This window comes from Homo sapiens, chromosome 14 (assembly GCF_000001405.40).
Source record: "Homo sapiens chromosome 14, GRCh38.p14 Primary Assembly".
In the NCBI taxonomy this organism is placed as follows: Eukaryota; Metazoa; Chordata; class Mammalia; order Primates; family Hominidae; genus Homo; species Homo sapiens.
In genome coordinates, this window is record NC_000014.9 from 71,963,446 (window position 1) to 71,987,001 (window position 23,556).

The 23,556-nt window shown below is 40.0% G+C and overlaps 1 protein-coding gene across 51 annotated transcripts in view, besides 1 other annotated feature; it reads left to right on the plus strand.

Moving 5' to 3' along the window:
* RGS6 (regulator of G protein signaling 6) overlaps positions 1-23,556 on the plus strand; it is a 762,695-nt gene that overhangs the window by 96,111 nt on the left and 643,028 nt on the right. For 50 of the 51 annotated variants that reach the window (NR_135235.2, XM_024449761.2, NM_001370270.1 and 47 more), the window contains one exon: positions 1,327-1,430. The exons of the other annotated variant lie outside the window; for it this stretch is intronic. Coding sequence is in view for 49 of the 50 variants with exons in the window: in XM_024449761.2 (XP_024305529.1) it covers positions 1,347-1,430 (84 nt within the window). In the remaining variant the exon portion in view is untranslated. The remainder of the gene's footprint in view (positions 1-1,326; positions 1,431-23,556) is intronic. 51 annotated transcript variants of the gene reach the window in all.
* Positions 18,041-18,654: an enhancer, noted in NCBI's record as "NANOG-H3K27ac-H3K4me1 hESC enhancer chr14:72448203-72448816 (GRCh37/hg19 assembly coordinates)". NCBI's record gives its function as "activates a minimal SCP1, AML or CMV promoter by ChIP-STARR-seq in naive H9 embryonic stem cells {active_cell/tissue: H9 hESC(naive)}" and the evidence as "EXISTENCE:reporter gene assay evidence [ECO:0000049][PMID:30033119]".

The following is a 23,556-nucleotide window of genomic DNA, read 5'->3' on the forward strand; positions in this document are numbered from 1 at the left end:
ACAGCCATCACCTCTATCAAGGCCCCTGAAGGAGACCCTGTATCCATTAAGCAGTCACCCATTCCATCCTCCCTGCAGCTACTGGCAGCTACCAATCTGTTTCTTGTCTCTGTGGACTTACCTATTCTGGATATTTCATAAAAATAGACTCCAGCAATATGTGACGTTTTGTGTCTGGCTTTTTACACTTAGCGTGTTTTCACTTAGCATGTTTTCAAGGTTCATCCACGTTGTAGTGTGTGTCAGTACTTTATTTCTTTTTATTGCTCAATGATATCCCATTGTATGGATATACACGTTTTATTTATCCATTCATGCACTGATAGACATTTGGGTTGTTTCCCCCTTTTAACTATTGTGAATAGTGCTGCTATGAACATTTGTGTACAAGTATTTGATATTTGTTTTCAGTTAGTTTGTGTATGTACTTAGAAGTGGAATTGCTAGATCATATGGTAATTCTGTGTTCAACTTTTTTGAGGAAACACTAAGCTGTTTTCAGCAGTGACTGTGTCATTTTACATTCCTACCAGCAATGTTTGAGGATTTTGATTTCCCTGTATCCTTGCCAAGACTTACTTGAGGTTTTTTTTTTTTAAATTATAATAATCTTAATGGGTATGAAGTGGTATCTCCTTGTGGTCTGGATTTTGATTTCCCTAATAAAATATTCATATTTTAATGCATAGAATTAATCAGAAAATGAGCTTTGGCAAGGTGAACTCAACAGCAAAATGATTGGCTTCAACTGTCTTCAGGAGATTATTTAAGACTGCCGTGGCTGGGTGCGGTGGCGCACGCCTGTAATGCCAGCAGTTTGGGAGGCTGAGGCTGGTGCATCACCTAACGTCAGAAGTTTGTGACCAGCCTGACCAACATGGAGAAACCCTGTCTCTACTAAAAATACAAAAATAGCTGGGTGTGGTGGCACATGCCTGTAATGCCAGCTACTCGGGAGGCTGAGGCAGGAGAATCACTTAAACCCGGGAGGCGGAGGTTTCAGAGAGCTGAGATCGCGTCATTGCACTCTAGCCTGGGCAATAAGAGCGAAACTCTGTCTCAAAAAAAAACAAAACAAAACACTGCTGTATATTCACTCCTGGGGTGTGCGATTCTGAGCTGAAAATCAATAACATGTTGTTTGGGGATTAGAAGAATATTTGTGGATAGTAAGACTGCAATCATCCCCTAACTTTAAAAAATGTATCATGTAATATCATGTTTTTGTTCATGGCATCTGCCAAAAGTTACTTAATTCTTTGCATTTCAAAGCCCTCTTTATATAATTCCTTCGTGACTTAATGGTTTATTCATTTATTTTTGCAGTGTGAGTGAAGACACTCAGGATGGCTCAAGGATCCGGGGATCAAAGAGCAGTGGGGGTTGCTGACCCAGAGGAGAGTTCTCCAAACATGATCGTTTACTGCAAAGTAAGGCGCCTGGTCAAGTGCCGTGCGTGCTGTCCGTGTGGACTGTTGTGTTCTGTGTAGGGCTGATAAAAAGACAAATGTTTTCTGCCTAAACTGCCTTACTGATAAATGCATATTTTCTTCTCACATCCTCTGGTTCTCTAGTTCTAAAATTCAAGGAAGTTCATACTTGAGCACTTGGTATTTAACACTTGAAAAATATTATGCCATTTAGTTTTCTTTAAACCCAAAGGTTGCCTAAGCAATGCAGATGGGAAGACACATTCTCCTTCAGTGGAAAGGCCTTAGTGTAAGATGTATGAACTGAAAGTTCTTCAGACTCGTAGTATGTACAAAATCTGGGCTGAATGCTGTGGGAGATAGAGAGGTATATTTGTATGAGATGCTTACAGTTGGTAGGAGACATAAGATGTACACAAATAACTGTTATAGAGTCTAAATGTTAATTTCCAAAATAGATGTGCAAGTAGAGTGTTACATAATTTCAGAGGAGGAGGCCAGTTCTCCCAGCCTCAGAGGTGAGAATGGGCTTGTGGAAGAGTGGTCTTTGAACTCAGTTTTAAAATATGTGCAGGATTGCTTTATGTGGAAAGCAGAGAGGAAGAACATACCAGGTGATGAGATGTTTCAGCAAGGGCACAGAGCTGAGGAAAGTAACAGCAACCGGAACTGGTTAGCTTGGACATAGGATGCATTACAAGGAGTAAATGGAGATAGGATTTTGGGAAGAGAGGCTGGCTGGAGCCAGATGTTAGTGTTGAATTAGACAATTTAATCAAGAAAAACTTCTGTGCCAAGAGTTGCAAGATTGAGATCTCTTTGGGATTATGACTGTTGCCCCATTGTGCTGAATGGATTGTTATCAAGATAGAGCGGAGGCTCTAGGAGAGAGATTTCTGTGTCTGTGTGAAAGGTAAGGAGGGAAAGGAGAGACACTAATCCAGCCTGTGAAATCACCTTCAGAATTAAGAGAAACTGATAAGAGGAATTAAAGTCTGGATTAAAAATGACTTGGAAACTGAAGGAATATAGGCGGCAAGTAGAGGGTCAAAGATGACGGGGTTTTTGACGTTGGGTAAATGAAAATCATTGGTGCTATTAATTCAAATTGGGATATTTGGAAAAAGAATACATTTTAAAGGAAGAAAATGGCACATAAGTTTATTTTAGTACATGCTGAATTTGACATAATTGCTTCTTATTGTACACCTTTTTGATGTTTGCATGTTTGTGAAAATTTAAACTAACTCTCTTGTATGTTAATAAGGAAATAAGTTAATGTTCATTTCACTAACTACTTGAGTTTCTACTCAGTTCTGTGCATTCTGAGAGGCTCTGTGTATTACTTATATGGGCAATGTGGAACTAGATATTCCTGGATGATCAATATGGTGAATTTTTCTCTTTTCCTTGTAAAAATAGAGTTCTCAAATTATTCTGGCTTTGAGTGTAAGATTCTGTAATTCTTTGCTTTGCAAGAGAATGTCTAGATAACCCATCTCTAAGAATCATGCTTATTAAATTGCGATAAAGAAAAAAATAGGTTAATGGGACTCAGCAATTAGTGAAACATACAGAATAATAGACATTGAGTCATTGTTACTTTCTTAACCCACCCCCAAACTGGGAGACCCCGTGCCAGGCTGGTAGGAACATGGGCTTTGGAGTGAGACTTAGGTTAAAATGCCAACTTTACCACTCTTTAGCAGTATGACTGTAAGTTAGTTCTTTAACTTCCATGAGCCACAATTTTTTCATCTGTAAAAAGAAAAAAAAATGTGGGAGGAAGGTAATTGTGAAGATCACTTTAGATAAATCGAATGAGGCATCTTATATCCTACTTAGACCACAATGTGGTCCGTAATGAATATCTCTTTTTCTTTTCATGTTTAGGTCTTGTAGAGTCAGTGACACTTGGAGAGGAAATAAATGATAAAATCTCTAAATGTTGGTGCTGTTAATAAGTTGTCTAGAGCAAATTTATACAGTGAGTTTTTTTTTAAGACACAGGAAAACAATAAAAATATTTTTATATTCTTCAGAGGATTGCAAATTCATGGATTATTAAAGAATAAGAAATGCAAAGGTCATGTAACCCAACCACCTTTCTACTAGAATGTTTGTATTATGTTTACAGGAAAAAAAAACTTCCTGCAGGTTTATGAGAACTTGGTTTTTACTTTTTGGTGGTAGTAAGGGGCCCTTTTCTGGTTTAATTTAGTAACTAACATGTCAATTGCTGTAGTTCTTTAGAGAAATGACAACTAGTAATGAAACTATATCTTACTTTCGTGTGACAAACTTGTGTAAAGAGTATATATATATATATATATATGTTCATGTTTATTTGCTATATTAATTACCATAAAAGGGACATTGAATTGGTTCAGTCTGTTAGAAAGAAGACACACTTATTGCACAGTGTGAGCTCAGGTCCTGACACCATTTTAAACCTAGTTAACCTGACTGACTTAAACCATGGTTGTACTTGAACTATGGGATTTTCATATAGTTTTCTACTCCTGATGCTGTAGGCTGCCTTTTGGCTACAACCAAGAACTTACTTGCTGTAGGACATTATCCTCAAGGTATCATCAGTAAGGGTTGGATTGTGAAGCCAATGACAATTCAAAGCATTTTCTTTGGAAGTCCTTTTGTGTAATCAATTATTCAAAGTCATAGCCATAAACCCAAACCTTTCCTTAGATACCCACGACTACAATTTACATTTAAAAAATTGTGCTTTCATTTTTGTTTTCTTTCTCTTGTTTGTTGTTGTTGTTTTTTTTCTCTTGTTGTCAGACACTTTCAGTGTGAAATTTTTGCTTGGACTGCATTGTGTTGATTCAGATGCTGACATTTAAAAAGCCAAATCTAGAGAAATGAAGCTTTTGGGTAAACTTTCGAGTAATAAGTGGATGATTATGTCCATAATGTTGTTGTGACTTTTAAATGACATTTAGGATGGTAACCTCCTGACATATGAGTAATGATGGGTGGGTTTTTAAAGCCCACACTTTTCAGAACACTCTTCATTTCCTTTTCATGTTTTCATGTCATTAACTGTGAGAAGTTGTACTTTCCCAAGGCATGACTTATTTATTGACTTGAACAGACTTTCTAATTTAGTTTTTCATCCCTCATATTCACAGTTTGGATTGGAGGTGTGTATGAAAAATGTATTGGTCACATTAAAGATCTATTTAAAAGAAAACCTTAATTATTCATGAAGACACCCAGACCTGTTAACCTTTTTTATATTCCTGTATCCTTAGGATCCTGAGTTACTGAATTGCCCAGTGTAATGATGATATTTGAACCTAGCTATACATCACATCATTTAGGGTGCTTTATAAAAATGTTAATCCTCAAAGGACCCCCTCCACAAGGTATTTCTATTTAATAGGTCTGAGCTGGGTCCTAGGAATCTGAGTTTCAAGATGTTCTCAGGAAAATCTGATGCCCAACTAAGTTTGAAAAGCACTTACTTAGTCTTTTACAATATCCAGACATAGTATGTGTTGCAAAGTAATGAGAGAGTTGGTGTTTTGAATTAGATTTTTGATTTCATAATTATTTGTAGATCTCTCAAAACGTAGAAGAACCAAGCTCTTGTCATAGGGATTTTAGTAGCTTTTCCTTAGATATTTTCTAGTCTTATTTTATAGATGAAAGAACTAAAAGTATAGAGAGGGTGAGTAACTTGATTAAGGCTCCTCAGCACTTTCCCATGGAAGCCATAATGGTGTCCAGGGAGCCTGGCCACTCCAATCAGTTGCCTTTCTAGCACCCTATGCGACTACCATGTTATCAACCACAGACTACTGTTACCACATTGTTGGAGCTGAGTAGCCATGGGGCACATTAAATTAATGAAAATAATATGTGGCAGATCTTTGACTTTCATGTTTCTTCTGGGAGAGTTGACTTGGATTAATGTCTCACTTTTTTATTGATTTTTAAAAAATACTTTAAGTTCTAGGGTACATGTGCACAACGTGCAGGTTTGTTACATATGTATACATGTGCCATGTTGGTGTGCTGCACCCATTAACTCTCATTTACATTAGGCATGTCTCCTAATGCTTTCCCTCCCCACTCCTGCCACCCCACGACAGGCCCCAGTGTGTGATGTTCCCCTTCCTGTGTCCAAGTGTTCTCATTGTTCAATTCCCACCTGTGAGTGAGAAGATGCAGTGTTTGGTTTTTTGTTCTTGCAATAGTTTGCTGAGAATGATGGTTTCCAGCTTCATCCATGTCCCTACAAAGGACACGAACTCATCCTTTTTTATGGCTGCATAGTATTCCATGGTGTATATGTGCCACATTTTCTTAATCCAGTATATCATTGATGGAATGTCTCACATTTTTAATGCTAAAGTTTCATTCTACTCATTGGTGCTTTTGCTTCTTCGGTAAAGATTTTCTAAAATGTTTACATAGGTAAGATTGCTTTTGAGTAAGAGTAGGTTGCTTTCTGATTTTGTTTGGATCTTTGGTGTTAACAATGCCTCTTGACAAAGTTCTCCTAACTAGACTGGTAATTTGATTTGTTTGGGTCAGGAGGCATGGAAGACATCACACTCTGGATGTCTTCTACATCCAGAAGGATGGAGGCATGGCAGATGTCACACTCTGGATGTCTTCTACATCCAAAAGCTGGAGGCTCTGCCTGTCTGGTCCCAGCTTTGTGTGGAGAACTTCACTTTCCTGATTCTACTTCTTGTTTTGTTTTCTACCTTCTTCATTCTTTTCCTCCTTCCTTTTCAATTGTGAGATACTTCTAACACAAAAAGAATATATTCAGTGTCCATGTAAAGTAGAAAGAATTAAAAAATGAATTATATGCACTCACCATTAGCTTAATAAATAAAATGTAATACTTTGGCCTCATTTCCCCTTCTGTAAAGGGAGGAAATTGGTCTAAAAATGTACAAATACCTTTCTGCAATGATTTCAAAGTTCCATTCTATAACTTTTTGATCTTTCGTAAATTAGTACACTTCCCTGATATCAAAACAATGTTGTGAGACTATATGCACGTTTAAAGGTCTTTTGAGCTTTTGAAGAAATATTTTAGATAGTTGTAGGTAATCTAAATTGGATTGAGATAAAGCCCAGTTAAGTCAGGCATTAGAATAAAAAGCTTTAATTGTAATTATTTAATATTCAACAGTGGAATTTAGATGACATCTTGGTGGCAACCTGTTTCTTTGGCTTGCTAATAACATTTAAGACATTTATAAAATTATCATTTTGTAGTATTAATTATATGCTATATACATAACAAGTGGTGTTTAAGTAGCAACACTGTACATTGCCAGTAGTATATAGTGTCATAGATGAAATAGGGGTTTTAGAGGAAGACAAAAAAGGCCAATGTTCTTGTATATCAACAGGTTAGTTGCCTAGCCTCGTCACTGATGGCTTCCTTCACCTATTCATTTCTAGTTATTGACTCCTTTTCTGCTGGAATTTGAGTCTAGCCTTTATGTTGCTCTGATACCCCAAGGTCACTCTTCCTAATGATTTAGGGCCCTTGAAGTCCTGGGCAGTTGTTGGTTTAGGCATACATCCAGAAAGTAAATGTCACACTATTTTAGTTACATTGGCTGTGGTATGCAGCAAGAAGGGAAGGATCTAGCCTGGAAGAATCCGATGCTATGGAGGAAGCTAGGGATAGAGTGTGGTTTGGAATTCATAGAGGGCAGTGGTAGAAGCCAGCACAATTGAGAGTCTGGGGACCTGCAGGTCCTGGTGACTAAGGCATGATGAGGATTAGAAACTGTCGAATCAGGAAATACGTATTGAGTGTCATTTGTGTGCCAGACACTATTAGATGCTAGGAATGCAAGATGAGAACTGAGCCCTGAATGAGCCCACAGGCCAGCTGGGGGTAAATGGGGAACTAGACAATTACAGTGTTGGTAGAAGCAACTGAGGGGCATGGGAGGAGGTAGAGGGGTCATGTAGTCCATCCCAGGAGAGGGGATGATGATGTAGAAGACATCCAGAGGATTTGGCACCTGCTTCGATTCTTGAAAGATGACTAGGAATTAACCAGATGGAGGAGGAGAGAGAAGGTGTAGGAGGCAGGACTAGCACCTGTAAAAGAGCAGATTTGTGATGTCGTATACCGAGTTCAGGAGACTTTAAGTGGTTGATATGAAGCTAGGTTTCTGTGATGAAAGGTTGAGGAATAGAGCTAGACAGATGGATTAGGGCCAGATCACAAAAGACCTTATGTACCATGCCAAGGAGTTTAGACATTGTAAAAGTATCTTCCCTTTGGGCCTCCACACCCAAGTTCAACTCCTTTGCATGCTGCTGTCTGCCCCAGAGGCTGAGCTGTGAGGACTACATTTACAGGGCTCCTGTGACCTCTGGGTTTCAGTTGGGTTTGGTTAGTAAAAGTCTGGAAAGAGATGGGAGGGAAGGAGAATCGCAATGTCAGAGAATTTCTTCTCCTGGGTCTCACTCTGCAAAACCTTGCACTGGCCATATCCGTCTACTGAAGTTTGTTGATTCTCTCAAGGCAGACTACTTTCCTCTTCTGGGTCCGGACATCCTTTTTGTCTACTCATCCTTTTGGGCCTTTGCCGACTACTTTCCTCTTCTGGGTCCGGACATCCTTTTCATCTACTCATCCTTTTGGGCCTTGGGGTGGTTCCAGTTTGTATTTGTTATCTCTTGCTGTGTAACGAGTTATCTCAAAACTCAATGGCTTGAAAACATTTATTATGTCACAATTTCTATGGGTTAGTAATCCAAGTGCAGATTCCGTGAGTTCTCCAGCACAGTGTCTTTTTAAAAGGCTGTGATCAAGATGTTGACTCGGATTATGGTTTCGTCTGAAGTCTCAGCTGGGGAAAAGTCTACTCCCAAACTTACTTGTGTGACTGTTGGCTGGATTCAGCTCCTTAGGGGCCGTTGGAATGGTGGACTCGGTTCTTCGTTGGCTGTTTGCCAGAGGCCATTCTTAGTTATTTATGACACGTGTCTCTCCATATCGCAGCTCATAATATGGCAGGTTTTTTTTTTTTTTTTTTTTTTTTTTTTATCAGAGTGACAACAGGCAGAGAAGGAAGATGGGTGGTAGTAGTCTTAGTGTTTTATAACCTAATTTTGGACATTTTTTTCTTTATTATACTTTAAGTTCTAGGGTACATGTGCACAACGTGCAGGTTTGTTACATAGGTATACATGTGCCATGTTGTTTTGCTGTACCCATCAACTTGTCATTTACATTAGGTATTTCTCCTAATGCTATCCCTCCCCCAGCCCAATTTTGGACATATTATCCCATCCCTTTTGATAGTAAGAAGTCACTAGGTCCACCCCTCACTCAAGGTGAGGGATTTACACAAAGATGTGAATACCAAGATCCAGAATTCAGAAAATCTTTGTGGGCCATTTTGGAAGCCATCTACCACACAGCTCTACTTCTACTAGCCAGGGGTTTCTGAGTGTTTTTTTTTTATAATTTCCCTGTACCCTAGAACTCCTTTAAACTTGGTCCTTTTGGAAATACATTTTCCTTAAATTGTCCTATGTATATCATCTGTTTACCAATAAGACCCTAACGAATGCAAGTATTATCCCACAAGCAAAGGGAAGCGATTGAGACTCTGCGTTTCTTGATAAGGGAATTCTTCATGAAAGGGTTTGAAGCAGGGGAGTCATTTGTCCAAAGTGGAGGATGGGATCTGAAATGGGGAAGTCAATGTGGAGAAGATTCAGTGTGGAGGTCAATGGGTGATCGATGTGGAAGGGTTCGGTGTGGAGGGAGAGTGTTGGAGAAGTGGTAGGATTGGAGGTAGGAGGACAGTTTAGAGATTGAACAGGAATCCAGGTGAGGAAAAATGATGCCCAAATCAGTGGCAGTGGTAATACAGATGGGAGGATGTGTTTGAGAGATGTTTAGGAGGTTCAGGCAACAGAATTTGGGGGCTGAGAAGACGTAGGGAGAATTTGAGAATAATGAGGAGGAATGAGGAGTCTTTTCCCTAGGCTATATCTGTGATTCTCAGAAAGTCTCCTGGGATAAACTTTTGAAGCAAATAGCTGTAGAACTGGATTGCCTGCCCCTCTCTTCCCTGTATGTAGATAAATTGAGAGAGCCCAAGACAGAGTCTGTAAATGGACCAGGATATCTGGGTATTTGTTCTGGCTGCCCCACTCCACTAGCTCATTTATGGCCATGCGTAAGTTGTTCCTACTTTTTGTTAAGTCTAGTTCTTTAATTTGTGAAGTAAGGGGTTAGCTATGCTGGGTGATCTCTAAAGCATTTTTTTAGATCTAACATTCTAGGTCTTTTGTAATCTAAAATAGAGAAACCCACATTTTATTATTTTACTACTTCATAGCCTCCTTTACTTTATTTTTAATTTTCTTTAAAAAGTGAACCGAGCCAAAACTTTAAAAACAGGTAAGTCAGAATGTTTAAAACAAATGGCTTTTGGTCTTCAGCACTTAGGGCTTGTTTTTTTTCACTCTTTTTTTTTTTTTAACATTAAATAAAATTCCTGGCCACATGCAGTGGCTCATGCCTGTAATCCCAGCACTTTGGAAGGCCAAGGCAGGCAGATCACCTGAGATCAGGAGTCTGAGATCAGCTTGGCCAACATGGCAAAACCCTGTCTCTACTAAAAATACAAAAATTGGCCAGGCATGGTGGCACACGCCTGTAATCCCAGCTACTTGGGAGGCTGAGGCAGGAGAATCACTTGAGCCTGGGAGGCAGAAGCTACAGTGAGCAGAGATGGTGCCACCGCACTCCAGCCTGGGTGACAGAGTGAGACTCTGTCTCAAGGACTAACTTCAGAAAGTGTTCAGGGTAACTAATTTAATTGTTCAGTCTACATTTTAAGATTCCTTTCATTAAATTTTTTGAAGCTTTTTTTATTGCCTTAGGAAAAAACTGTTCTGTTTTCCTTTTCCCCCAGGATTAGACTTGCTGGAAGAAAAGCTCCCCCATCACATTATCTTGGTTGGCAGGAGACAGGCATGCAGGCAAGTCCCAGACCAGTGGTATCAGTGTCCACAGATGAAAGGGATGGTATTTTTAGTGTGGGGAATAGCTCAGTGTGGTTTCATATGATGCATTTTGATGAGTATAACTTTCTAATTTGAAAAGCCTTTGGTGTGTTTACGTCTTCATTTAATCTTTCCAATTTCTCCCCCTCATTTCATTTCAAGGAGTCTAAGATTTTTCATTTTGGCAGGCAGTTGATCACTCTTGTTATTGACACTCCTTTGCAGTATTCTTACACTGTGGAGAACCTGAATGGCTGTAAATTCCCTATTGGCAGGATTTTGGAGAAAAAAAAATAAAAGCGAATAGATACCTGTGAAAGAAAAAATAAATACATTTTAAAATAATTGGAGGATAGAAGGATTACTTTTAAAAGTTCTGTTAGTTTGCCAGTACAGAGCAAAACAGAAAATGGACACATTTTTTTGATCAGCATTCTCTGTTCTAAAAACTTATTTCAATAAGGGAAAGAATATGCAAAGACATATATATAGATATAGACATACACCCACTCCAAAAGAATAGTGATATCTTTCTGGTAAATAATATCCAAAGTTTGGAAAGAAATCAAATATCCATTGAAAGGAAACTAATTTTAGGGGGATAGGATTCACATTTGGAATGATCTCATAGTTAGTTTACTGGATTTCTGTTCTGGTCAACCTAATAATTGTCTTGAAAGTGAGATGGCTACTGACATTCTAGGGTATGGTTAGGGAGAATATTCTTTATTTTTAAAACCCTACAAGATTTTTTCATTTTTTAAAATAAAATGTCTTATTTGTTAAATATGATGGTTATGTAGGTTTACTCAAAAGTGATTTTTTCCATTGCTCTTTATTATTTTCTGCATCTCTGTGCTTACAGCTGAAATAATTTTTAGTATTTTCTTTAGTGCAGGTCTGCTGAAGATAAATTCTCTCAGTTCTTGTTTGTCTAAAATATCTTTGGGCCAGGCACGTTGGCTTACGCCTGTAATCCCAGCACTTGGGAGGCCGAGGCAGGAAGATCACTTGGCCCAAGAGTTTGAGGCCAGTCTGGGTAACATAGGGAGACAACATCTCTACAAAAAGAAAGAAATAAAATAAAAAAAAATTAGCTGTGCATGTTAGTACATGCCTGTAGTCCCAGCTACTCAGGAGGTGGAGGTGGGGGAATCACTTGAGCCTGGGAGGTCAAGGCTGCAGTGGGCCATGATTGTGCCACCACACTCTAGCCTGGGCAACAGAGTGAGGCATGGTTTCAAAGACAAAAAGAAAGTCTTTGTTTCATCTTCATTTTGTGAAGGGTGTTTTTTCTAGATTTAGAATTCTAGATTGTCGGTTATTTTATTTATCATAACTGTCATTGTCTCTTGGCTTTCATTGTTTCTGTTGGGCAGTTGGCTGTAAGTTTGATTATTCCTCCTTCGAATGTAATCTGTTTTTTCCTTTGGCTGCTTTTAAGATTTATTTCACTTTGGTTTTAGCAGTTTTATTATAAGGTGTGATTTTCTTTTTAATTTATTCTCCTTAGAGCTTATGAGACTTCTTTTTATTTGGTTGGTGCTTGGGGATTCTTTTTTTTTTTGATGGAGGCTTGCTCTGTCACCCAGGCTGGAGTGCAGTGGTGCAACCTTGGCTCACTGCAGCTGCCACCTCCTGGAATCAAGTGATTCTCCTGCCCCAACCTCCCGAGTAGCTGGGACTAGAGGTGCGTGCCACCACGCCCAAATAATTTTTGTATTTTTAGTACAGTCGGGGTTTCACCATGTTGACCAGGATGGTCTCGATCTCTTGACCTCGTGATCCTCCCACCTCAGCCTCCCAAAGTGCTGGGATTATAGGCATGAGCCACCATGCCCGACTGTGCTTGGGAATTCTTAACCATTAACTTTTCAAATATTGTTTATGCCTAGTTTTCTCATTTCTCTCTTCTTGGGATTGTGTTCATATGTTAGGACCTTTTTCCTCTAGATTTCATGTGTTTCTTATGCTCTTTTCTGTATTTTTTATTCCTTTGTCATTTTGTGCTTCAACATGGATATTTTCTACCGACTTATCCTCCAGTTCACTAATTCTCTCTTCAATATATTAGATAATCTGTGGTTAAAGTCATCCCATTGAATTTGTAACCTTAGTTATTGATTTTTTAAGTTCTAAAATTTTCATTTAATTTTCTTTTTATAGTTTCTAGTTTTCTGCTAAACTTCTCTATTTTGTCATTTAATTCCTAAACTTATTAATCATAATTGTTTCAAAGTCCATATCTGATACTTTAAAGTCTTTATCACTTGCTGGACTGTTTCTACTAACCTTTTCTTTCTTTTTTTTCTTTTTTTTTTGTTCTTCTGTTTATTTATTTTATTTTTTATTTTTTTTAATTATTATACTTTAAGTTTTAGGGTACATGTGCACATTGTGCAGGTTAGTTACATATGTATACATGTGCCATGCTGGTGCGCTGCACCCACTAACTCGTCATCTAGCATTAGGTATATCTCCCAATGCTATCCCTCCCCCCTCCCCCCACCCCACAACAGTCCCCAGAGTGTGATGTTCCCCTTCCTGTGTCCATGTGATCTCATTGTTCAGTTCCCACCTATGAGTGAGAATATGCGGTGTTTGGTTTTTTGTTCTTGCGATAGTTTACTGAGAATGATGATTTCCAGTTTCATCCATGTCCCTACAAAGGACGTGAACTCATTCTTTTTTATGGCTGCATAGTAGTCCATGGTGTATATGTGCCACATTTTCTTAATCCAGTCTATCATTGTTGGACATTTGAGTTGGTTCCAAGTCTTTGCTCTTCTGAATAATGCCGCAATAAACATACATGTGCATGTGTCTTTATAGCAGCATGATTTATAGTCCTTTGGGTATATACCCAGTAATGGGATGGCTGGGTCAAATGGTATTTCTAGTTCTAGATCCCTGAGGAATCACCACACTGACTTCCACAATGGTTGAACTAGTTTACAGTCCCACCAACAGTGTAAAAGTGTTCCTATTTCTCCACATCCTCTCCAACACCTGTTGTTTCCTGACTTTTTAATGATTGCCATTCTAACTGGTGTGAGATGGTATCTCATTGTGGTTTTGATTTGCATTTCTCTGATGGCCAGTGATGATGAGCATTTTTTCATGTGTCTTTTGGCTGCATAAATGTCGTCTTTTGAGAAGTGTCTGTTCATGTCCTTCGTCCACTTTTTGATGGGGTGGTTTGTTTTTTTCTTGTAAATTTGTTTGAGTTCATTGTAGATTCTGGATATTAGCCCTTTGTCAGATGAGTAGGTTGCGAAAATTTTCTCCCATTTTGTAGGTTGCCTGTTCACTCTGATGGTAGTTTCTTTTGCTGTGCAGAAGCTCTTTAGTTTAATTAGATCCCATTTGTCAATTTTGGCTTTTGTTGCCATTGCTTTTGGTGTTTTAGACATGAAGTCCTTGCCCATGCCTATGACCTGAATGGTAATGCCTAGGTTTTCTTCTAGGGTTTTTATGGTTTTAGGTCTAACGTTTAAGTCTTTAATCCATCTTGAATTGATTTTTGTATAAGGTGTAAGGAAGGGATCCAGTTTCAGCTTTCTACATATGGCTAGCCAGTTTTCCCAGCACCATTTATTAAATAGGGAATCCTTTCTCCATTGCTTGTTTTTCTCAGGTTTGTCAAAGATCAGATAGTTGTAGATATGTGGCATTATTTCTGAGGGCTCTGTTCTGTTCCGTTGATCTATATCTCTGTTTTGGTACCAGTACCATGCTGTTTTGGTTACTGTAGCCTTGTAGTATAGTTTGAAGTCAGGTAGTGTGATGCCTCCAGCTTCGTTCTTTTGGCTTAGGATTGCCTTGGCGATGCGGGCTCTTTTTTGGTTCCATATGAACTTTAAAGTAGTTTTTTCCAATTCTGTGAAGAAAGGCATTGGTAGCTTGATGGGGATGGCATTGAATCTATAAATTACCTTGGGCAGTATGGCCATTTTCACGATATTGATTCTCCCTACCCATGAGCATGGAATGTTCTTCCATTTGTTTGTATCCTCTTTTATTTCCTTGAGCAGTGGTTTGTAGTTCTCCTTGAAGAGGTCCTTCACATCCCTTGTAAGTTGGATTCCTAGGTATTTTATTCTCTTTGAAGCAATTGTGAATGGAGTTCACTCATGATTTGGCTCTCTGTTTGTCTGTTGTTGGTGTATAAGAATGCTTGTGATTTTTGTACATTGATTTTGTATCCTGAGACTTTGCTGAAGTTGCTTATCAGCTTAAAGAGATTTTGGGCTGAGACAATGGGGTTTTCTAGATATACAATCATGTCGTCTGCAAACAGGGACAATTTGACTTCCTCTTTTCCTAATTGAATACCCTTTATTTCCTTCTCCTACCTAATTGCCCTGGCCAGAACTTCCAACACTATGTTGAATAGGAGTGGTGAGAGAGGGCATCCCTGTCTTGTGCCAGTTTTCAAAGGGAATGCTGCCAGTTTTTGCCCATTCAGTATGATATTAGCTGTGGGTTTGTCATAGATAGCTCTTATTATTTTGAAATACGTCCCATCAATACCTAATTTATTGAGAGTTTTTAGCATGAAGGGTTGTTGAATTTTGTCAAAGGCCTTTTCTGCATCTATTGAGATTATCATGCGGTTTTTGTCTTTGGTTCTGTTTATATGCTGGATTACATTTACTGATTTGCATATATTGAACCAGCCTTGCATCCCAGGGATGAAGCCCACTTGATCATGGTGGATAAGCTTTTTGATGTGCTGCTGGATTCGTTTTGCCAGTATTTTATTGAGGATTTTTGCATCAATGTTCATCAAGGATATTGGTCTAATATTCTCTTTTTATGTTGTGTCTCTGCCAGGCTTTGGTATCAGGGTGACGCTGGCCTCATAAAATGAGTTAGGGAGGATTCCCTCTTTTCCTATTGATTGGAATAGTTTCAGAAGGAATGGTACCAGCTCCTCCTTGTACCTCTGGTAGAATTCCGCTGTGAATCCATCTGGTCCTGGACTCTTTTTGGTTGGTAAGCTATTGATTATTGCCACAATTTCAGATCCTGTTATTGGTCTATTCAGAGATTCAACTTCTTCCTGGTTTAGTCTTAGGAGAGTGTATGTGTCGAGGAATTTATCCATTTCTTCTAGACTTTCTAGTTTATTTGCGTAGAGGTGTTTATAGTATTCTCTGATGGTAGTTTGTATTTCTGTGGGATCGGTGGTGATATCCCCTTTATCATTTTTTATTGTGTCTATTTGATTCTTCTCTCTTTTTTTCTTTATTAGTCTTGCTAGCGGTCTATCTATTTTGTTGATCCTTTCAAAAAACCAGCTCCTGGATTCATTAATTTTTTGAAGGGTTTTTTGTGTCTCTATTTCCTTCATTTCTGCTCTGATTTTAGTTATTTCTTGCCTTCTGCTAGCTTTTGAATGTGTTTGCTCTTGCTTTTCTAGTTCTTTTAATTGTGATGTTAGGGTGTCAATTTTGGATCTTTCCTGCTTTCTCTTGTGGGCATTTAGTGCTATAAATTTCCCTCTACACACTGCTTTGAATGCGTCCCAGAGATTCTGGTATGTTGTGTCTTTGTTCTCATTGGTTTGAAAGAACATCTTTATTTCTGCCTTCATTTCGTTATGTACCCAGTAGTCATTCAGGAGCAGGTTGTTCAGTTTCCATGTAGTTGAGTGGATTTGAGTGAGATTCTTAATCCTGAGTTCTAGTTTGATTGCACTGTGGTCTGAGAGATAGTTTGTTATAATTTCTGTTCTTTTACATTTGCTGAAGAGAGCTTTACTTCCAAGTATGTGGTCAATTTTGGAATAGGTGTGATGTGCTGAAAAAAATGTATATTCTGTTGATTTGGGGTGGAGAGTTCTGTAGATGTCTATTAGGTCTGCTTGGTGCAGAGCTGAGTTCAATTCCTGGGTATCCTTGTGGACTTTCTATCTCATTGATCTGTCTAATGTTGACAGTGGGGTGTTAAAGTCTCCCATTATTAATGTGTGGGAGTCTAAGTCTCTTTGTAGGTCACTCAGGACTTGCTTTATGAATCTGGGTGCTCCTGTATTGGGTGCATATATATTTAGGATAGTTAGCTCTTCTTGTTGAATTGATCCCTTTACCATTATGTAATGGCCTTCTTTGTCTCTTTTGATCTTTGTTGGTTTAAAGTCTGTTTTATCTGAGACTAGGATTGCAACCCCTGCCTTTTTTTGTTTTCCATTTGCTTGGTAGATCTTCCTCCATCCTTTTATTTTGAGCCTATGTGTGTCTCTGCACATGAGATGGGTTTCCTGAATACAGCACACTGATGGGTCTTGACTCTTTATCCAATTTGCCAGTCTGTGTCTTTTAATTGGAGCATTTAGTCCATTTACATTTAAAGTTAATATTGTTATGTGTGAATTTGATCCTGTCATTATGATGTTAGCTGGTGATTTTGCTCGTTAGTTGATGCAGTTTCTTCCTAGTCTCGATGGTCTTTACATTTTGGTATGATTTTGCAGCGGCTGGTACCGGTTGTTCTTTTCCATGTTTAGCACTTCCTTCAGGAGCTCTTTTAGGGCAGGCCTGGTGGTGACAAAATCTCTCAGCATTTGCTTGTCTGTAAAGTATTTTATTTCTCCTTCACTTATGAAGCTTAGTTTGGCTGGATATGAAATTCTGGATTGAAAATTCTTTTCTTTAAGAATGTTGAATATTGGCCCCCACTCTCTTCTGGCTTGTAGGGTTTCTGCTGAGAGATCCGGTGTTAGTCTGATGGGCTTCCCTTTGAGGGTAACCCGACCTTTCTCTCTGGCTGCCCTTAACATTTTTTCCTTCATTTCAACTTTGGTGAATCTGACAATTATGTGTCTTGGAGTTGCTCTTCTCGAGGAGTATCTTTGTGGCGTTCTCTGTATTTCCTGAATCTGAAAGTTGGCCTGCCTTGCTAGATTGGGGAAGTTCTCCTGGATAATATCCTGCAGAGTGTTTTCCAACTTGGTTCCATTCTCCCCATCACTTTCAGGTACACCAATCAGACGTAGATTTGGTCTTTTCACATAGTCCCATATTTCTTGGAGGCTTTGCTCATTTCTTTTTATTCTTTTTTCTCTAAACTTCCCTTCTCACTTCATTTCATTCATTTCATCTTCCATTGCTGATACCCTTTCTTCCAGTTGATCGCATCGGCTCCTGAGGCTTCTGCATTCTTCACATAGTTGTCGAGCCTTGGTTTTCAGCTCCATCAGCTCCTTTAAGCACTTCTCTGTATTGATTATTCTAGTTATACATTCTTCTAAATTTTTTTCAAAGTTTTCAACTTCTTTGCCTTTGGTTTGAATGTCCTCCCGTAGCTCAGAGTAATTTGATCGTCTGAAGCCTTCTTCTCTCAGCTCATCAAAGTCATTCTCCGTCCAGCTTTGTTCCGTTGCTGGTGAGGAACTGCTTCCCTTTGGAGGAGGAGAGGCGCTCTGCTTTTTAGAGTTTCCCGTTTTTCTATTCTGTTTTTTCCCCATCTTTGTGGTTTTATCTGCTTTTGGTGTTTGATGATGGTGATGTACAGATGTTTTTGGTGTGGGTGTCCTTTCTGTTTGTTAGTTTTCCTTCTAACAGACAGGACCCTCAGCTGCAGGTCTGTTGGAATACCCGGCCGTGTGAGGTGTCAGTGTGCCCCTGCTGGGGGGTGCCTCCCAGTTAGGCCGCTCGGGGGTGCCTCCCAGTTAGGCTGCTCGGGGGTCAGGGGTCAGGGACCTACTTGAGGAGGCAGTCTGCCCGTTCTCAGATCTCCAGCTGCGTGCTGGGAGAACCACTGCTCTCTTCAAAGCTGTCAGACAGGGACATTTAAGTCTGCAGAGGTTACTGCTGTCTTTTTGTTTGTCTGTGCCCTGCCCCCAGAGGTGGAGCCTACAGAGGCAGGCAGGCCTCCTTGAGCTGTGGTGGGCTCCACCCAGTTCGAGCTTCCCGGCTGCTTTGTTTACCTAAGCAAGCCTGGGCAATGGTGGGCACCCCTCCCCCAGCCTCGTTGCCGCCTTGCAGTTTGATCTCAGACTGCTGTGCTAGCCATCAGCGAGACTCCGTGGGCGTAGGACCCTCCGAGCCAGGTGTGGGATATAATCTCGTGGTGCGCCGTTTTTTAAGCCCGTCGGAAAAGCGCAGTATTCGGGTGGGAGTGACCCGATTTTCCAGGTGCCCTCCGTCACCCCTTTCTTTGACTAGGAAAGGGAACTCCCTGACCCCTTGCGCTTCCCGAGTGAGGCAACGCCTCGCCCTGCTTCGGCTGGCGCATGGTGCGTGCACCCACTGACCTGCGCCCAGTGTCTGGCACTCCCTAGTGAGATGAACCCGGTACCTCAGATGGAAATGCAGAAATCACCCGTCTTCTGCGTCGCTCAGGCTGGGAGCTGTAGACTGGAGCTGTTCCTATTTGGCCATCTTGGCTCCTCCCTCCTTCTGTTTATTTTTTATTAAGTTCTGGGCATTATACAAATAATATAGAAGACATCATTTACGGCTCTAGGACAATGTTACGTTACTTCTGAGAGAACTTAACTATTTTTTTCTTTTATGTCAGTCAAAATAGGAATGGATTACCTTAATCAAGTCAGACACAAAGATTACTTGTAGCTGGACTTCAGTTCTTCTTAGGGCTAGATATATTTCTAGATCTCCTTTACTCTCTGTAGGGAGCCCTTCTGGTTCCAACCAAAACCCTGGGTGCCCCTCCTCCTTGGAGGACTCTGACCTCTAATTTTTGTCCTTTAAACTCTATGACACTGCCAAAAGCTCTGTTCAGCTTCTTGATCATGCCTTTTGTTTAAGAAATTGACAATGCTCTTGAGAAGAACAAGCAGCTCCAATTGCTGGGCTCATCTTCTTAGTTTTCTTCTTTCAGGTCATGGCCTCACAAACTCTTACTGTCTTGGTTGCTTTTCAGTGCCCTCAAACATGTTTAACAAAATGTTTTTCAGCATTTCCAGTTGCTCTCATCAGGAGGGTGTTTCTGAAACATCTAGTTAGCCATTGTCAGAAGTAGAACCCCAGAACATTGGCCTTGAGAGAAGGTGGATCCATCTTTTATAGCCTTGGTTTGCTCTTAAAATGTTTTAGAAAAGACATATCCTGAGTGTCTTAGTGGTCTAGCGTGATGGTGGTAGAGGTGAAGAAAAGTGAAACTTCCAGTATATTTAAAAAGTGGAATTAACCCGTTATTAGTTTTAGATGGAGATGAGAGAGGAGGATTCAGGGCTAATGGCCAGGATCTGGACTGGGCATCTGGATGTCCAGTCACTAGGATAAGTGGTTGGGTTAGTGACACTGGAGCCTCAAGTCACCACAGTAACAGAATGACATTCACCACAGCCTAGTTATGTAAAACTCTGGACAGAGGGAATAAATCCAGGCAAATACCTCTACGTATGAAATGGACCTGAAAAGAAGCTTTACCTGGAGGAAACCTTACCTGACTCCAGAGACCTTTTTGGTTTAGAAAACAGGAAGTAACTTGTATCTGTCAGTATGACACTTTTGAACATTTCTGTATTAGTTTGCTAAGGTGCTGTAACAAAGTCCCACAAACTATGGCTTAAGACAACAGGAATATATTCTGTCACAGTTCAGGAGGATAGAAATCTGAAATCAAGGACTGGGCAGGGCTACGCTCCATTTGAAGGCTTAGGGAAGTCCCCTTTCTTGCCTCTTCCAGGCTTTCTGTGGCTGCTGGAGATCCTTGGTGTTCCTTGGCTTGCAGCAGCATCACCCTGGTCTTCGCCTTTGTCCTACCTCACCTTCCTCATGTGCCTACCTCTGTGTTTCACATGGCCTTATAAGGACACTAGTTGTGGGATTTAGGCCTACATCCCCATACCCCCAATTGATTGTGACCTCATCTTAATGAATTACATCTCAAAGACCCTAATTTCCAAATGAACTTACATACGCAAGTCCCAGGGTTTAGGACTACAAAATATCTTTTTGACAGACACAACTCAATCCACAACAATTTCTAGTTTATCACCGCGTGAAGCTTAGTGCTCTCTGCAAAGATCAAATGAACAAGTAGTGTACTTATTGAGCTGTTGCTTCTGACAAAGCACTGTGTGGGGAATAAAAAGTAGCGTGGCACACAGTCTCTGTCCTAGACAACTTTACTGTCCAACTGGGGAGACCAAGAGTGATGCAGAACTCAGGAGGAAAATAAGCTTTGGTTGGCCACCTACCATTTACCAGATACTGCAGTGGGGGCTATACATATATTGAGCCATTTAATCATCAGAATAGCTTGCTAGGTAAGTGGTATTCACCCTATATTACAGATAAGGGAACTGAGGGTCAGAAGGAGTAAATAACTAGTATTAAGTGGTGCTATCAGAATTTGAATCTAGATTTGTTGTATTCTAAAGCCTGTGGTTTTGGGGAAGAAACTGAATTATGTTAAAAAAAAAAAAAAAAAAAAAAAACAAAGCTGTTAGAAATTAACCATAAGAGAGTTAGTGTGAGAGCTGGGTGTGGTGGCTTGCATCTGTAGTCCTAGCTACTGAGGAGGCTGAGATGGGAGGATCCCTTGAGCCCAGGAGTTTGAGACCAGCCCGTGCAATATAGTGAGACCCTGTCTCAAAAAGAAAAAAAAAAAGTTGGTGTGGACAAGGAAGGCTTATTGAGGAAGAAGAAATTTGAAGAGAAATCATCTGAACTGTGTTTTTAAGAAAGGGTAGGAGTTGGCTGGTGGAAAAGAGCCAAAAACTGATTCCAGGTGATGGGAGCTACGTGAACCAAGGCAAGGGGATAGAATATATCAGATGTATTTAGGAGAAAATATATTTTATAACACTATATATAAGATACGTGCTTTATATAATTATAGCCTCATTCTTCATATGGAGACCTTGAAGTAAGAAAACAAACATTTTTAGCTCTGTGTCTCACATGGTAAGGTATTGGTAAAGCTGAGCCTTCTGCCAATGAATTTTTTTTCCATTCCTCTTCAGAAATAATCGCTTTCCATTTAAAAAGTAATAATTCAATTTAGAAAGAATCAAAATATAAAGTAGAGAAAAAATCTCACATATTCCTATCATGCAAATATGACTAAAGTTAACATTTTGGTCTCTTCCTCCCAGTCCTTGAATATGTATCAGTAGTATACATAACACATTAACCTAGAGAGTAATCATAGTGTATGTGCTATTTTGTGCTTTTCTACCATAACCTAAGCACTAATCTGTGCCATAATATGTCATCATTATCATAGTTTTATTTATTTTTATTATTTTTAATTTTGAGATGGAGTCTCGTTCTGTCACCAGGCTGGAGTGCAGTGGTGTGATCTCGGCTCACTGCAACCGCCGCCTCCTAAGTTCAAGTGATTCTCCTGCCTCAGCCTCCCGAGTAGCTGGGACTACAGGCATGTGCCACCATGCCCAGCTAATTTTTGTATTTTTAGTAGAGACGGGGTCTCACTATGTTGGCCAGAATGGTCTCGATCTCTTGACCTCATGATCCGCCCACCTTGGCCTCCCAGAGTGCGGGGATTACAGCTGTGAGCCACCGCACCTGGCTATCATAGTTTTAAAGGTTGAATAATATTCTAAGTAGATAATGTACCATGATTTACTTATTTAGGGTTTGTTATTAATAGCAAATTAAAAAATTCCTAGGTCAAAATGCATGACCTGTGTTACAACTCCTATTATATATATGGTTTTCTGGAAGGTCAATATTGATTTTGGCATATATAGACTGGGCTTCTCTGGGTTGTTGTAAAAGTTCTATGTCATTGAACTACAGAAAGAGGGTGAGGGGATTTCTAACAATTAGGGCCAGTGTTTTCTTCACCTCTAAACCGCATCCCCATCCTAGTGTCTGCTTGGCTTTGCAACACCATCCTTATCCTGAGAGCTTTGTTGATGCCTGGGGATATTCAGAAATTTTCGACTTGGAACCCTTCCAAGACATTTGCTATTTTATTCTCTATTTGTTTTTCTTAAGCAACTAACTAAATAAGAATAACATTTCAACCTCTTTCTACTCCCCACAGCATTTTTTCCTGCCTGCACCACCTCTGCCTACAGTTTAACCATGGGGTTGCTTCTTATATTTTAAAGCTAAATACAAAAGCACAGTTCTGAGAAGCAGCCAAGTTCTGCAGCCAAGTTTGAAGAATAAAACTTTAAAACAGCTCTTCTGTCACACACTTGAGAGGGGAGGCAGGCTTTGCTATAAATAAGTCACATTCCATTTCTATCTCATCCTTTGCAGTCCTCTTGGGTAATGCTTTTTGTATATGACTACAGTGTTCTCGAACTGCCCACTCACCCCTTTCAACCTTCCATTTTGTGCCTCACTTTATTTAAATGTTCAATAGTTTTGGAGTTTAGGGACCCTGCATGAAAGGAGTAGACCTTTCCTTTCATTCTTCAGGCTTAGATGTAATGAGATTCAGTGGCTAACTTATTAGAAACTATACTTTCTCTTTGTCTGTAACGTTTTCAGCAGCTGCCTGGATTAGTTTCCTATTGCTGCCATAACAAATTGCCACAAATGTAATGGCTTAAAACAAGGCCAGGCACAGTGGTGCATGCCTGTAATTCCAGCACTTTGGGAGGCTGAGATGGGATTGCTTGAGCTCAGGAGTTCAAGACCAGCCTGGCCAACATGATGAGACCCCATCTCTATTTAAAAAAAAAAAAATACAAAAGTTGTCTGGGTGTGGTGGCGTGCACCTGTAATCCCAACTACTCAGGAGGCTGAAGTGGGAGGATCACCTGAGCCTGGGGAGCTCAAGGCTGCAGTGAGCCATGATCGTGCCACCGCATTGCAACCTGGGTGACAGAGTGAGACCCTGTCTCAAAAAACAAAAAACCAAGAAACCCCACAAATGCATTTTCTTATAATTCTAGAAATCAGGAGTGAAAAATGATTTGGCAGAGCTGCATGCCCTCAGGGGGCTCTAGGAGAATTCATTTCCTCCCCTTTTCCAGCTTCTAGAGGCTGCCTACATTCCCTAAGTCATAGCCCCACATCAGTCCCACCTCTACTCTTGGCATCATATCTCCTTCTCCAACTCTGACCTTCCTTTCTCTCTCTTATAGGACCCCCGGTGATTACATGGAGCCCACACACATAATCCAGGGGTACCT